Genomic DNA, 13830 nt, shown 5'->3' on the forward strand with positions numbered 1-13830 from the left:
GAAGAGAGAAGGAAAAGGCATAGTCAGAGAGAAAGAGAAGTTTTCCTGTTCCTGCTCCTACAGCAGGTCCCGGACCCAGGCATCCATCACCAGGCACATGATGGAGGAACTCTGTCCCCTTACCTATGACCAGCAGCGATGTTTTTTCAGTGATTCCGCAAGAGTCAAAAACCCAACAAAGCGCATCGCCGGCGCTGTAAAGGGAGCATGCTGCCGGTGTCTGTGACCACTGTATGCAAAGCTTGGCATTAGTCACAGCCGGGCCGGCTGTGACAGGCCTGAAGTGAGGGAGATTAATGCGAGGCTGGGACACTTTATTATTGTCATTCTGTTCTTTCAGACTCTGCCTCTGACTTTCAATTTTGCTCCAGAATTAATTGTCTGCTCCCTGCAGTATGACTGATGGAGAAGGATATGCGGAGCCCAGGCACCTGGCTCTGGCCTTGACAGTCTCAGGCCCGGTGTGGGATGGATTGTGTGCGGTCAGGGCGGGGGACAGACGGGCATCCCTCAAAGAAATCGGCCCAGGCCACAACTGACTTCAATCAGATGTGACCAGAGATTATCCTTTGCCAAGAATCATTTTGGCTTGTAGGGTTCCCAGCAACCTGCCCATTCCCTGTCATGGACCCTCCCTGGAACCCAGAGCTCAGTCTGTTGGTGGAGCCATTCCTAGTCTTTCAGGTTTCTGATTCTCTTCCTTTTTTTCTGGTTCTGGGCAATAAATTAGCAGTGCAGTCTCCTAGGTCTCAGCCCTCCCAGATGTAAGCATTTTTGTGAGCATGTCAAGCACAGAATCTCTGACAATGGGAAACGCAGTGGGATTCCAAAACGCTGGTGCCATTTTCCAGTTGGCGTTGAATACCCACCTCCCTCTTCCTCATTACTCACCCTTGCCCCATTTTCCTTCATTTCAAAAAAAAAAAAAAATCAAATCATATATTTAAACAGAAAAGTCTTCCTTAATAGCAAATCCTGAAGGAAGCCTCCAACAAAATAGCAATGTTCTCTCCGCTTTAGGAGTTTGGCACACAAGAAATGGTTGTTGACTGAATAAATGAATGTGTGAAGGCATGCAAGAATATTTTCATGGATAAATGAATAAGTGGAGTTCCTAAAAAGAATGAAACATAGAAAGGCATATCTTCCTTTTACAAATAAATAAAAATCCTTTCCAGTCATTTTTAAGCCAAATTCAGCTGCTAACCATTTTTCTAAACTTTGGTCAGCCTCATTCCCCATTGCAGATATGTTCATGAAAACCTAGGTGTAATTCTTTAAAAAAAAATAAATGGAATCCCACTTTAAATGTTTAAGAATGCAGGGGAGGAGGGAAAATGTCTTTGAGAAATACATTTCCAGTGCTAATTTTTATGCTCTGGTCTAGCTGTGTGTGTGATTTTCAACTTGGGGTCTAGAGGTGACAGTTTCAATGCATGAGATACAGATTTCCCTAGCCCTCCCAAAACAAAGTTTCACTAGAGGAAGAGCTTATGTTTTCCAGGCACCTCTCCCTCCAAACTGGATAAGATTGACACGTGAGATGAGGAAAAACCAACCAATAATAGAAAGGGCAAGTGTTGATGAGCTGAGAACCATTTAAAGGCTGGTTTTCTGTAGAACTTTCAAGAGTTCCTTCTAAATATGCTGTCTGCCTATAACCTGCAATAAATTACTACAGCTTTAACTCATCTGGTACTTTCATACGATTACGGTATTATGTTAAAGGGTACAGAAATATATAATATGCTCAACTGTCTCTATAGTTGATACCAGAGGGAAAATTACCACCACTCAGTGAAGAAGATTCAACCTCATTACATTAATGATTTATCACAATGGGAAAATGTGAAAAGTAACTAGTTGCTTTTATGAAAAGAGGCAGCTTTTCCCACTGGCAACTCCTGCAGGCTCTCCAAGAAGGAGAATTTAGAAGGAGCTCCAGACGGTCACACTCTCCCACTCCCTTCCAAAGCTCCCTCTGCAACATGAAGGAGAAGGTGCACTGGCAAATGTTGGAATATCCTTCAAACTTGACATTAAGTATTCAAATGTTACTTAAGCAAAGTGTGAGCAATTAAATTAATCAATCTTCCCAGCCATGTACAGAACAGATGTTCAATAAATCCTCTTTGCTTACAGTGAGGGGGGGAAGAGTCCACTTTTAACTGTCCTTCAGCAGTGACACTGCTCAGGCGTCCTCTGCCGGCCTCCTGGGCTACCGTCAGGTGCTTCTGCTGCACTTTCCTTTATTATAAATAACAACAGGCCACCTGGACTACCTGTGCTACCTGGGAGCCTCAAGTTTAATGATCCTTCCAACACAGGGCTCTGCTCGCGCCTGATCCCAGGTAATGGGGCTGATGGAAATGGCAGTAGAGTGACGGTTGGCAGTGACAGATGACTGCTGGCCAACTTGTGCTGCTGACAAGCGGTGAATATGGGCCAATGTTGCAGAAAGGTCAGGATAAAAGTATTTGCTCGACTTTCAAAGTTTCTCCAGAAAAAAAATAAGCAGATGAGCCAAAACCACATAGACCTCCAACAAGAGTGCAAAGAGCTTTGCACCAGAGGGGCTGGCTTGTTCTGGGCTCTAGAAAAGAAGGCAGTCTCCATTGGAAGCTGTGGGTTAGATGAGGAGAGAAACTCAGACACTAGGGAGAGGGAGCCTTGTTTTCTTTGCATGAACAGTTCCCAGTGAGGAACTTCACCTCTGGGCTGCCAGGGAACATTGAGGGAACGTTCAGTAAACAATTCTCTCCCTAACCCCTCAAGATGATCATATAGAGTCTCCCTGTTACATCACCCAGACCCTCTAAGTATCCCTCTTTGCCAATACTCTGCTGCAGAGGCAGCTAACCTCCAATTTACAAAATAATAAAATCAATGAATGTGCCAGATTACCAAAGATCACAGGATTTGACCTGTCCACTGTGGCTTCTCTAACTAAATCTACCATCCTAAAGGAGAGGACTGGGGAATCCCAAAGCATGGGGAAGGCACTCAGCCCTAATCCCACAGTGCCAACCATCCCCTGGTCCACCCCCAGACCAGGACCCTGCCCAGCCAGAAGCCTCTGATCACCACCCACTGAAACCCACAAGGCCACTGTCATTCAGAAGTGGAGGATACAATTCCTGCCCTACAGATACATAACTTCAACCTTTTGAAGGCTGCCTTTCCATATATGGACTTTATCCACATTTTAATGAGGCTTTAAAATCTCCAAGATTAAGCTGGTATTTTATGTAGAACTGCCTGCTTTTTATGATATCCTGACATGTTGTACAACATTTGGTGACTATATTGATCCTTATAAATTCAGCATCTATATATATTCATGAAAAGTACCTTTTCTCCCCATTCGGGCCACAAGATGATCCAGACACACATTTTCCTGAGTGGAGACAATAAAACTGCAATTGTCATGGTTTTGAGCGAACACGATGTTTCAGTGTTTTCAAATTAAACCCCTTTTACCATCTGCTTGCAAACTCTTCAGTGAGGAAATGACAGCTCCTTTCTAGGTATCTGATGGTGTAAGTGCCCCTGAAGTTTCTCCTTCAGGTGAGCTTGTTATAAATCCTGAGGGGCCCGGCAAGGGTTTCCTCCCGTGTGGGACATTATATATCTTCATGCCCTCATGTTTGCCCGACCAGAGGCCAACCTTCTCCCATTTCTTTGGGCCATTTTATGCTTTTAATCTGAAACAAATGATTGCAGGGGGGAGAAAGAGCATTATCACCTTGGCGAAACATCGGGAATATAAAAAAGAAAAAGAAGAAGAAGAGGAAGAAAGAAAGAGACTATGGGCAAATTCATCTTCTGCCGCTACAATCAATCTCTCACCTAAAGAAATACACAATAACTAGGCAGGAAAGAGGCAAGATTTATGACTTAGAAACATCTACACTGACCAGCATATACCTAGTCTTCTTGGCTCTCTCCCTACCCGAATGGCTCTCTTTAACAGTTACAATGATAAACTGTCTCTCCCTACTGTTTTACAAGTACATTAGCTTTATTTAATGAGATCTCAGAGTAATTTAACAGATGTATATAGGACATAAGACTAGGGAAACTCTTGCTACTAGGATACTTTTGCCAAGGTATTCTAGGACAGCTAATCTGAGAGATAGCTTTATATTCTTTGAGAAAGCATTGTTTGGAAGGCTTTTAAAAATGATTTTAATGGAAATATTATATTACAATCAATGAGGAGAGAGCCTCTTTCACATTCACTTGCATTCGGCCCATGAAAACGCAGGATGAATGGGCTTTGTGAAGTCGTAGGAACTCACTTACATATTGAACTGTCAGGAAGGATGTCACCATCAGAAATTAATACTTGTGTTAAAAAAGTTAATATTTCACCCACCCACCTTCCAAAAAGAGTAAGAAGATACCTGGGTGTGAGGAAACGGAGAGAGGGTAGGCAAAGGGAGAGAGGAAGAGACTATTTGAGAAGGAGGTGAGGCACCTGTTTCAGCCAATGTCGTGTTTCGGGGCTGGGGTCGAGGGTTGGAGACAGGTGCAGTTTCCTCCCTACCCTCTATCCCTCTGTGCCTGGCGTGCTCAGGCCAGGACCTCCCCTTCCTGGCTGGCTGCCTTCTTCCTTCCCTGACATTCCTTAACACTTGGTTCTCTGAGAACTGTAATGGAGAAATGACAATGGTATTAACTTTTCAAAAATTGCTTTAATAAACTGCCAATTAATAAGTGAGAAGAGGAAGCCATGGGAAATTACCTGGTCATGCTTAAAATAAAATTAAAGGGGGAAGGGGACGTTTTTCCTCTTCCTTTCTCAGAAAGCACAAGGCTTGGGCTCTCATACCCCAGGATGTGATTTCCAGAACCAAATTCTCCTAAGTATGACAAAATCTACACTGCATGGCACCACATCTTGGTCTATGATACAGTTAACTCAGCTTCAAAATGGAGTGTCATCCCAAGTTTAGTAAATATTGGCAATACAATACATTTAAAAACCAAAATGGAACAAAATAACAGCAACTCAAAATTTCACCCAATGGGGATACCAGTTTTAATTATTAGTGACTCTTTTTTTTTTTTTTTTTTTGAGACGGAGTCTTGCTGTGTCACCGAGGCTGGAGTGCAGTGGCACGATTTGGCTCACTGCAACCTCCACCTCCCTGGTTCAGGCAATTCCCCTGCCTCAGCCTCCCAAGTAGCTGGGAGTACAGGTGTCCACCACCATGCCTGGCTAACTTTTGTATTTTTAGTAGAGATGGGATTTCACCATGTTGGACAGGCTGGTCTGAAACTCCTAACCTCAGATGGTCCACCTGCATCGGCCTCCCAAAGTGCTGGGATTACAGGCATGAGCCAACACGCCCGGCCAACTTTTTTTTTTTTTTTTTTTTAACAAAAATGGTCTTTTAAACTACAGGTTGCTTTTGGTCGAAAAATATTTTTGTTTTTTAAATCCTTTAAATGGTTTGTAACAGACTGCAGTTGATATTTACAATTCTGCAAAAGTGTGGCAGATCCTTCTCCTTAGGATTGCTAGCTCCCTCATAGGCACCTTTATATGGAGTCACCTCTGAAAGTATAGATGTTACAGTGTGTATGTGACAGCAGGTGGAAGTGAGTGCAAGAGCTACATGTGTGTCTTCTCAAGGTAAACATACTTAACAACATCCTACCAAACATATACCACTTTATACAGTGTTCATGGCTCCTTATGAATAATTTAGGGTATCCAATGCAGTCTTTTTAAAATACAACATTCACAGTGAGCATAAAAACTCAGTCCAATGAAAGGTTATGAAATTAGTGGTGACTGTACAAAATTGCAAAGAGAAATCACAATGAACCTACTCACTTAGGAGGTGAGGGGCTCAGAAAAAAAAAAGCGGGGGGTAAGAGAGAGAGAGAAAGAGAGGCAGAGAGGTATGTGGTGTTCTTGCACCAACGGGGCAAGAACAAATCTATTGCATAGAATTTCATTTATTGAGAGCTATACATCAAGTTGTATTTGTTTAATGAGGTTGGCACCAGAAAGATGTATAGAACATGTCAGACACCCAGTACCAATGCGTAGTGGGGAAAAGATAACATCTCAGACTGCGACCACTCGCTTCGTCTTCCAGCCAGTGTCTCTATCTGTCGGCTCTTTGGGGAATAATAAATGAGGGGGCAGAAGGAACAAGAAGCCAAATAATGAAAAACACACACAAAAAGGAAAAATTATAACATGGGAGAGCAAAGTAGAGCCAGATTTACTGACCTCACAACTACATAATCAAGAAAAAGTTATCACTGAAGAAACTTTTACTAAGCGGAGTGATCTTAAATAACAGGGAGTCCTGTGAAATTTACAGCGCTCTTAAGATATGCAAATTGAATGCAAGGTATAGACATAAGGGTAATTAATTGTAAATCTAAGAATAATGTTTCTTTGTCAGGCTGTCTCCCTGTTGTGGAATACATTCTAATGTGCCTTAGCTTGGAATACTTTTTTCAAGGCTGCTCTAATTACAAGATGTTCAGAATTTCAAAATACTAGTTATTCTTATCGTTTAATTTAGCAGCTGTAACATTTAATAACAGAATTTACTGATTGCATGACAATATTGTAATCTTTCAAGGTTAAAGCGCTTGTTCCCAAGTCCAGCCCATCAGGATCCATGTGCAGAGAGAATGTTATGGATAAAGCACTTTCCACAGGTCCTCAATGAGTGTTGCGGGTGGAAGCGTCGCAGGCCAGCTGAGCCCAAAAATGGGGCTTAGCCCACAGGGTTCTCGGCTTCATCCAGAAAAGAATTCAAGGGCAAGCCAGTGGTAGGGTAGAAGAAAACAGCTTTACTGAAGTGGCAGTGTTGCAGCTCCGTGACTGACCCTGCAGAGCAGGGCTACCCTATTGGCAGTGTGCTGAGACCAGCAGCTCAGGGCAGTTTTGCAGTCATATTTATACCCACTTTTAATTACATGCAGAGTAAGGGGCTGTTTATGTAGAAATTTCTAGGGAAAGGGTAGTAACTTTTGGTTCATCAGGTCATTACTATGGAAAGGGGTGGTAACTCCCGGCTGTTGTCATGGCAACGGTAAACTGACATGGCGCACCGGCCAGCGTGTCTGATGGAAAGTTGCTTCCACCCAGGACCTGTTTTAGCCAGTCCTCAGTTTGGTCATGTGCCTGAGCCCCGCCTCCAGAGTCAAGTCCCGCCTCCTGCCTCTGAGAGATCCCAGTGGTTGCTCACTGCTGCTTAGTTGCCTCACTTCATCCACTGGCACGTGCTTCTGGGTCTTACAGTGATTTCCTTATCATGCTGGGAACAATGTACTGATTTGTGCTCTTAGTGTTTAGCTCTCTTCTACCTGCCCGTGAAAACCTCCCACTTCTTGTTAATGAAAGTGATGGTGGGATTCTGCAGATGACGGATTCTTAGAAAATTATAAGCAAGAAGACAGGGATAGAAGTTTTCAAATCAAGGGAACGTGACTCTTGACTGTCATCAAGAAAGCTTGGTTGTCGTCAAGAAAGCTCTTAGTGAAGAACCACTTGAGGAAAGAGCTGGGCAAGAAGGGGTGTGAGGGGATTCCACCAAGCAAATAAGGAGTGACGGTCCTGCTCAGGAAGGAGACCACTGAAGGGATGGGATGCCGATTCCATCTTCAATCGTTTCTCAGAAAACATTTGGCCAAGAGTGGACTACACAACTAGAAGGTCTGGGAGTGGAGAAGTGGGCACGAGATTGGCCCAAGGAAAGTGCTAGGAAAGATGGGTTAAACTCTCTCTTGGGTTAAAGCCGCAAGGGCAGGGGGCCCAGGCAAGTGCTCTCTCGCCCTGAATGCTTGGGCTGTGTGCATGCCTGGCTGCTATGACAACGCCCACTCTTGCCCTCCTCCTGCTCCACTGGCTTCTCCTCTCTGCCTCCTCCACTTGCTCCTGGTCTATTCAATTTCCTTAAGACAAACCTCTGATGCTCCCCTGAGCTCTGTCTGGGGCCCTTTCCTCCTTTCCCCTCCACACTCATCCTGCAATCCCATCCAGTCCCAAAGCACTAAATGCCATCTCTGTGGGTTGACTGCCCTGAAATCTCCAGCCCAGACCTTCCAGGGGCTTATAGCTTCAATGACATCTACTTTTGAATATCTGGTGGACATTTCCAAACTGCTGCATTTCAAATGGAGCTGCTTCTGCCGGGAATGTTCTGCTCCTACTGAGAGAATCCTCAGGCTTTGGGTCACAGCTCAGGGGTCAGTGTCCTCGGCTCACTCATCTTACGCAGGGTGCCTCCCTCATTTCTCTGTCATATCGCCCTTACTTATTTCCATCAGAGAAACTTACACAATTTATATTGATTTCAATTGCATGTTTATTTTATGCTGCCTGTGTGATCTACTAAAATCGAAACTGAGGTGGGATGGGGAGGACAGGGGGCCTCTTGGCTGTGTCCACTGCTCTGATATCTCTGTCCTGCTGTCAATGGCAGGTGCTCGATAGATCACCAGTGAGTGAAGTGCTCTGGTTACCAACTCAGAAAGACAGCGTGGTCTGTGCCTCTTCCTAGGACTCCACAATAGCCCCATAGTGAAAGTCCACTGCATGCAGAGAGATACTGCAGATAGACAGCATATCTAGGCATCCTGTGCCCATCCCTGGGCATCTCAGTTGAGAAACTGAAGCTGGATCAGAACAGGGCTGTGAGAACAGCAAAGAGTTTGGAAAGTAAGCCAGTCAAGGCTTGGTGTTAGGAGACCCAGAACATTGAGCCTAGAGGGAAAGGATGATTTAACATTTTATGGCACTTATTTACTAGATAGTCTGGAGGGAGAGGGATTTAAATTGCTCAGTACAGCTGCAGAGAGCACACTTAGGGCCCAGGATGTGGATCTGAGGAAGCAGTGTAGATTGGAAGTCAGACTTGGGCCCAGAGCAAAACAGCCGTGGACTCAGTCTAGGCTCTACCACTTGCTACCTTGTGGAATTCTGAACAACTTACTCCATTTTGCTATGCCTGAGCTCATTTCCCTGTTGAGAGGATTTAGTGAAACATTTGCAAAGCACTTAGCCTTCAAATGCTAAAGAGAGGTTTAGGAAAACAAACATCCCCCAAGCTTTGTATTTGTAGAAAACAGTGAGGTTCCATTCAGACTAATTGTGGAATACTGTTAATCCCTTACCAGCTCGGGCAATAACTCTAGTCTTCAGCAAGGTTGTAGCATTCTCTTCCCCACCCTCTCAAATATATCTGGGATTTGTCAAAGGGCTGTCTTCACTGTCCTCATAAGCCATCAGCCTGCCACCACTGGCCTTGGTCACTTTCAGAAAACTTGGCTCCAGGCCCCGATTCCAATGTAACCATCCCAGAAATTTATCCCAGTTACTGAACATTCATGCTTTAAGAACAGCTCTTGCAAGGAAGAAATCTGAGTTTCCCTCTTCCTGCCACAAAAATAAACAAAGAAAAGTAAAAGTCAAACCAAAGCCTGGGAGAAGATATGCATGCTGCATATATCTGACAAAAGACTTAGTTCTGTAATATGTAAAGAGTTCCTACAAATCAATAATTTTAAAAGCCAATCACCTCAAGGTATAAAATGGGCAGAAGACTTGAATGGACACTTCACACCCAAAAAAAGATATGAGTAGGCCAGGCATGGTGGCTCACCCCTATAATCCCAGCACTTTGGGAGGCTGAGGCAGGCAGATCACCTGAGGTCAGGAGTTCAAGACCAGCCTGACCAACATGGATAAACCCCGTATCTACTAAAAAAATACAAAATTAGCCAGGCATGGTTGTGCATGCCTGTAATCCCAGCTACTCAGGAGGCTGAGGCAGGAGAATCGCTTGAACTAGGGAGGCAGATGTTGCAGTGAGCAGAGATCACACCATCCCACTCCAGCCAGGGCAACAAGAGTGAAACTCTGTTTCAAAAAAAAAAAAAAAAAAAAGATACAAGTAGACATTTTGCACATGAAGAGACGTTCAACATCATTGGTCATCAGTGAGATGCAAACTAAAACCATAATGAGATGTTATTTCATATCCAGTATAGTGGCTAAAATTGAAAAGTCTGAGAGTCCCAAAAGTAGACAAGGATGTGGAACAACCAGAACTCTTGTATATTGCTGGTGGAATGTAATATGGAACAAACACTTTGGAAAACTGCTATAAAGTTAAACAAACACTTGCCATTTGACCCACACAATTCCAGTCAAAGCTTTTTTCAAAGAAGACAAAGATGACATGATGACAATGAAGAAGAAGCAGAAGAGGAAGAAGAAGAAGGAGGAGGAGGAGGAGACAACAATGATGACGATGAAGAAGAAGCAGAAGAAGGAGCAGAAGAGGAAGAAGAAGGGGGAGGAGGAGGAGAAGGAGGAGAAGGAGGAGGAGAAGGAGGAGAAGGAGGAGGAGAAGGAGGAGAAGAAGACAACGATGATGACAATGAAGAAGCAGCAGAAGAGGAAGAAGAAGAAGGAGGAGGAGGAGGAGACAACAATGATGACGATGAAGAAGAAGCAGAAGAAGGAGCAGAAGAGGAAGAAGGAGGGGGAGGAGGAGGAGAAGGAGGAGAAGGAGGAGGAGAAGGAGGAGAAGAAGACAACGATGATAACAATGAAGAAGCAGCAGAAGAAGAAGCAGAAGCAGCAGCAGAAGAAGAACAAGAGAAAGAAGAAGAAGAACAACCACAACAACAAGGAAGAGGAGGAGGAGGAGGAAATGAAATGAAAACTTATTTACAAAAAGACTTATACAAAAATATTCATAGCCACATTATTCCTATAGCCAAAAACTGAAAACAGTCAAATGTCCCCCAACTGAGGAGTGGATAAACAAGTTGTTTTATGTTGACAATATGAGATACTATTTAGAAGCAAAAATGAAAAGAACAAAACCCTAATATATGAGGGAATAAGAGAATCTCAAAAATGTCACATTGAGCCAGACACAAAAAAGTGTGCACTGTATGACTCCTTTCTACGGAGTGCTGTACCAGGCAAAGGCCAGCTGTGAGGACAGAAATCAGATCGGTGGCTGCCTCTGCAAGGAGTATAGAGATGGACTTAGGAGACGGAAGGAATTCTCTAGAGGGACAGAAATGGTTTATATCTAGAAGGGAGGGTGTCTACGTATGTCAAAACTCATCAAATTGCACCCTCTGTTGCATATACATTTATTTTAATAAAGTAGATTATAAAAGGAAAGAGAAAAGACAACAAAATATGTGTCTACTTTAATTATGCTCAGTTGGAGAGAGCATGTCCTATTGCAGGCTGGGCCCTAAGTGTTAAGAGCTCAATGAAGCATCTCTTTAAGACCAATCATATTGGCTCTTCTCTCCCCTGAGTATACCCCAGGCCACCAAGTAATCAGGTCTACTTCAGTTCTGTTACACTAGCCCCAAGAAAATCAGTTAATGCAAACAGAGAACAGAGACAGGAGGACCCTGCAAAGACCTCCCAAGGGGCAACCACGTGGGTTGACTGTAAGAGGATCCCCTCAATCTTGGTGGTGATTTCTCCATTTCATTTGACCTGGGTGGAGCTGGGGTAGTACCTGTTACCCCATCACTTAATCTAGGGAGCTGGGATATCTCAGTGCATCCCTAAAATGTATGTTCATAATGAAGGAAGGGTTTTATTCTCTACCCCAGGAGATGCCTTAGAGAAACAAGAAGCGCTACACCACCACTCTAGCGTCTGGAGCCCTGTCTGGGAGGTTAGGCAGACATGGGGCAAATCCTGGCTCCACCTCCTCATAAGCTGTGTGACTTTGAGTGTGTTCCTGAATCTCTCTGTGCCTCAGTTAACTCCTCTCCGTAATGGGTATAGTCAAAGAGTGTATCCGTCTCAAGGTTGTCATTAGAAGTAAATAAACTAGTAGAGGTAAAGGGCTTAGCACTTTATTAACTCTAAGCATTGGGAACACTTCATAAAAGTTAGCTATGATTATTATTACATGAACATGAGGATAAAAGAAAGTCTGAGATTCAGAGGTAAATGGATGGAAGGGGAAAATAAGAGATTCAGAGAAAGAGAAGGAATCAAAGAAAAAGACTAAGGTGAGAATGAAATAAAGGCATACGAGAAAAAGGTAGAAACAGAAGAAGAATGAACCCAAATTATACTTCTCTGCCTAAAGCTTGCCGAAGCGTTCTGCACAGCTCCCTGAGCATAATCTGGGCTCGGTTATTTAAAAGGCTGTGGGATAATACAGTGGGAAGACAGGTCTGCACGGTAACTCACACAATTTATCACACAGGGAAGAGCCACTAATCTTTTTAGGAAACAAGGTATTCATAGTTATTTAAGGCTAATATTTATGCATGACCACACATTGTGAACACAGCCCAATCTCCATCCTCACCCAGCCAAGATCTGGGAAGGTCTTTAGCAGCAATGTTCCATATTTTAAGCCCCCTACAGAAGTCTCACCCAGTAGTCTGCACCGGCTCTGTTATTAACTGCATCCATACACCAGATATATTCATGCACACCGCTAATTGAAAGAGCAGATTTTCCCGAGGTGGGTGAGTACTAAGCCGAGGTGGGTGGATACAGCCTTGCGTGAATTTCTTATGACCAAAACCACAGTGTTACCTTGCAAAAGGTAATCAATTATTCAAACTCAGAACCTTCAGAATATGCATAAATATAGTCCAGGCACAGTCCAGCTGGTCTATTTCATTAGCCTACTCTTTACAGGGTGCTGAGAACAAAAGGCTGGATGTAACAATACGAGTGACCCCAGCAACAACTAGAAAGATGCCCGTTTCCTGCCCAACCCACAGAGGACCCGATCTTATCTGCATTTGGCCAGAATATGACCTTCAGGGACGTTTTCTCCAGTCATGGCTGAGGCTGCCTTCTTGTCCCACAGAGGGCCCCTTTCCTTGTCTCTCTCGTTCTTCTCTTTTCTACTCCTCCCTGCCAAGGGACCCAGCTTCATCCTGCCTCCGTCTAGCTGGGTCATGCCATTGTCTCCTGATGTTTCACCAGCATATGCTGGGTCGTCATGCCCTTGCCATTTTAATCTGGGTTACTTGTCTTCCTTAACCCTGGGTGCTCAAGATGGAATCTCTACTGGATCAATAAACTTCATTCTGGTCCATGTTCAACCCTTCTTACTGACTACTCTCAATGCAGTATTATCCTCAAAGACCTCTTCTCCAACCAGGAGGAGAATGAGGCAGCCAAGAGGAAGAGGGGAGCCTGAGTCATGGCTAAACAAAGAGGCTTACAAACAAACAAAAATTCCAGAGAACTATGACCTGCTGCATCTATCCAAGACCAGGATTTTTGAAGCACAGGAAGAGGTACGGTGTGCACTGCACTGTTGTCTTGGGAAACAGTTACTTCTTTATGTCTCAGGATGTTAGGACGAGGTGAGCAGCCAATCCCTTCTAGATGGAATTACAGACCCTCCACCTTTCTTCATCCTTCCTGGTTCTCCTTCACATGCCCATGAGGACCCACCCACTGGTTTTCCAACCATCTGTTGTTTGGTTTTTGTCTGGAAGCACCTGGACATTAAAGTCCTCCCCCGAGTCACCCTCGCGGCATCTGCCATGTGCAAAGGAGCTTGCAAGGGACCTGCCAGTGAATTTGGGCAGGAGGCACTGGGGAGGGGTCTGCAGTGATTCAGTGATATTGTGAATCAGTGATATTGTGAATGCAAACCTGGCTGGGTATCAGAATCACCTGTGGAGTTCAAAACAAAATGAAACCAGACCACAAGGATGCAACTCAAACGTTCAGAATTGGTGGCATCTGTGGCAGGTCGAGTTCTCTGGGAAAGAGGGCAACTCTGAGGTGGGGTTAAGGGTGCAGGAGGTGTATTAAGGTCCACCCTGGAC

The 13830-nt window shown here is 44.2% G+C and overlaps 1 long non-coding RNA gene across 21 annotated transcripts in view; it reads right to left on the bottom strand.

Annotated features, from left to right (window-relative positions):
• LINC01837 (long intergenic non-protein coding RNA 1837) overlaps positions 1 to 13830 on the bottom strand; it is a 234720-nt gene that overhangs the window by 45895 nt on the left and 174995 nt on the right. For 18 of the 21 annotated variants that reach the window (XR_007067222.1, XR_007067219.1, XR_007067217.1 and 15 more), the window contains 2 exons: positions 4481 to 4652; positions 3352 to 3704 (listed from right to left, as the gene is read on the bottom strand). This is a non-coding gene — a long non-coding RNA (long intergenic non-protein coding RNA 1837). The remainder of the gene's footprint in view (positions 1 to 3351; positions 3705 to 4480; positions 4653 to 13830) is intronic. The other 3 variants (XR_001753907.2, XR_001753908.2, XR_002958401.2) reach the window with 1 other exon arrangement.

The sequence above is a fragment of the Homo sapiens genome, chromosome 19 (assembly GCF_000001405.40).
Source record: "Homo sapiens chromosome 19, GRCh38.p14 Primary Assembly".
NCBI lineage: Eukaryota > Metazoa > Chordata > Mammalia > Primates > Hominidae > Homo > Homo sapiens.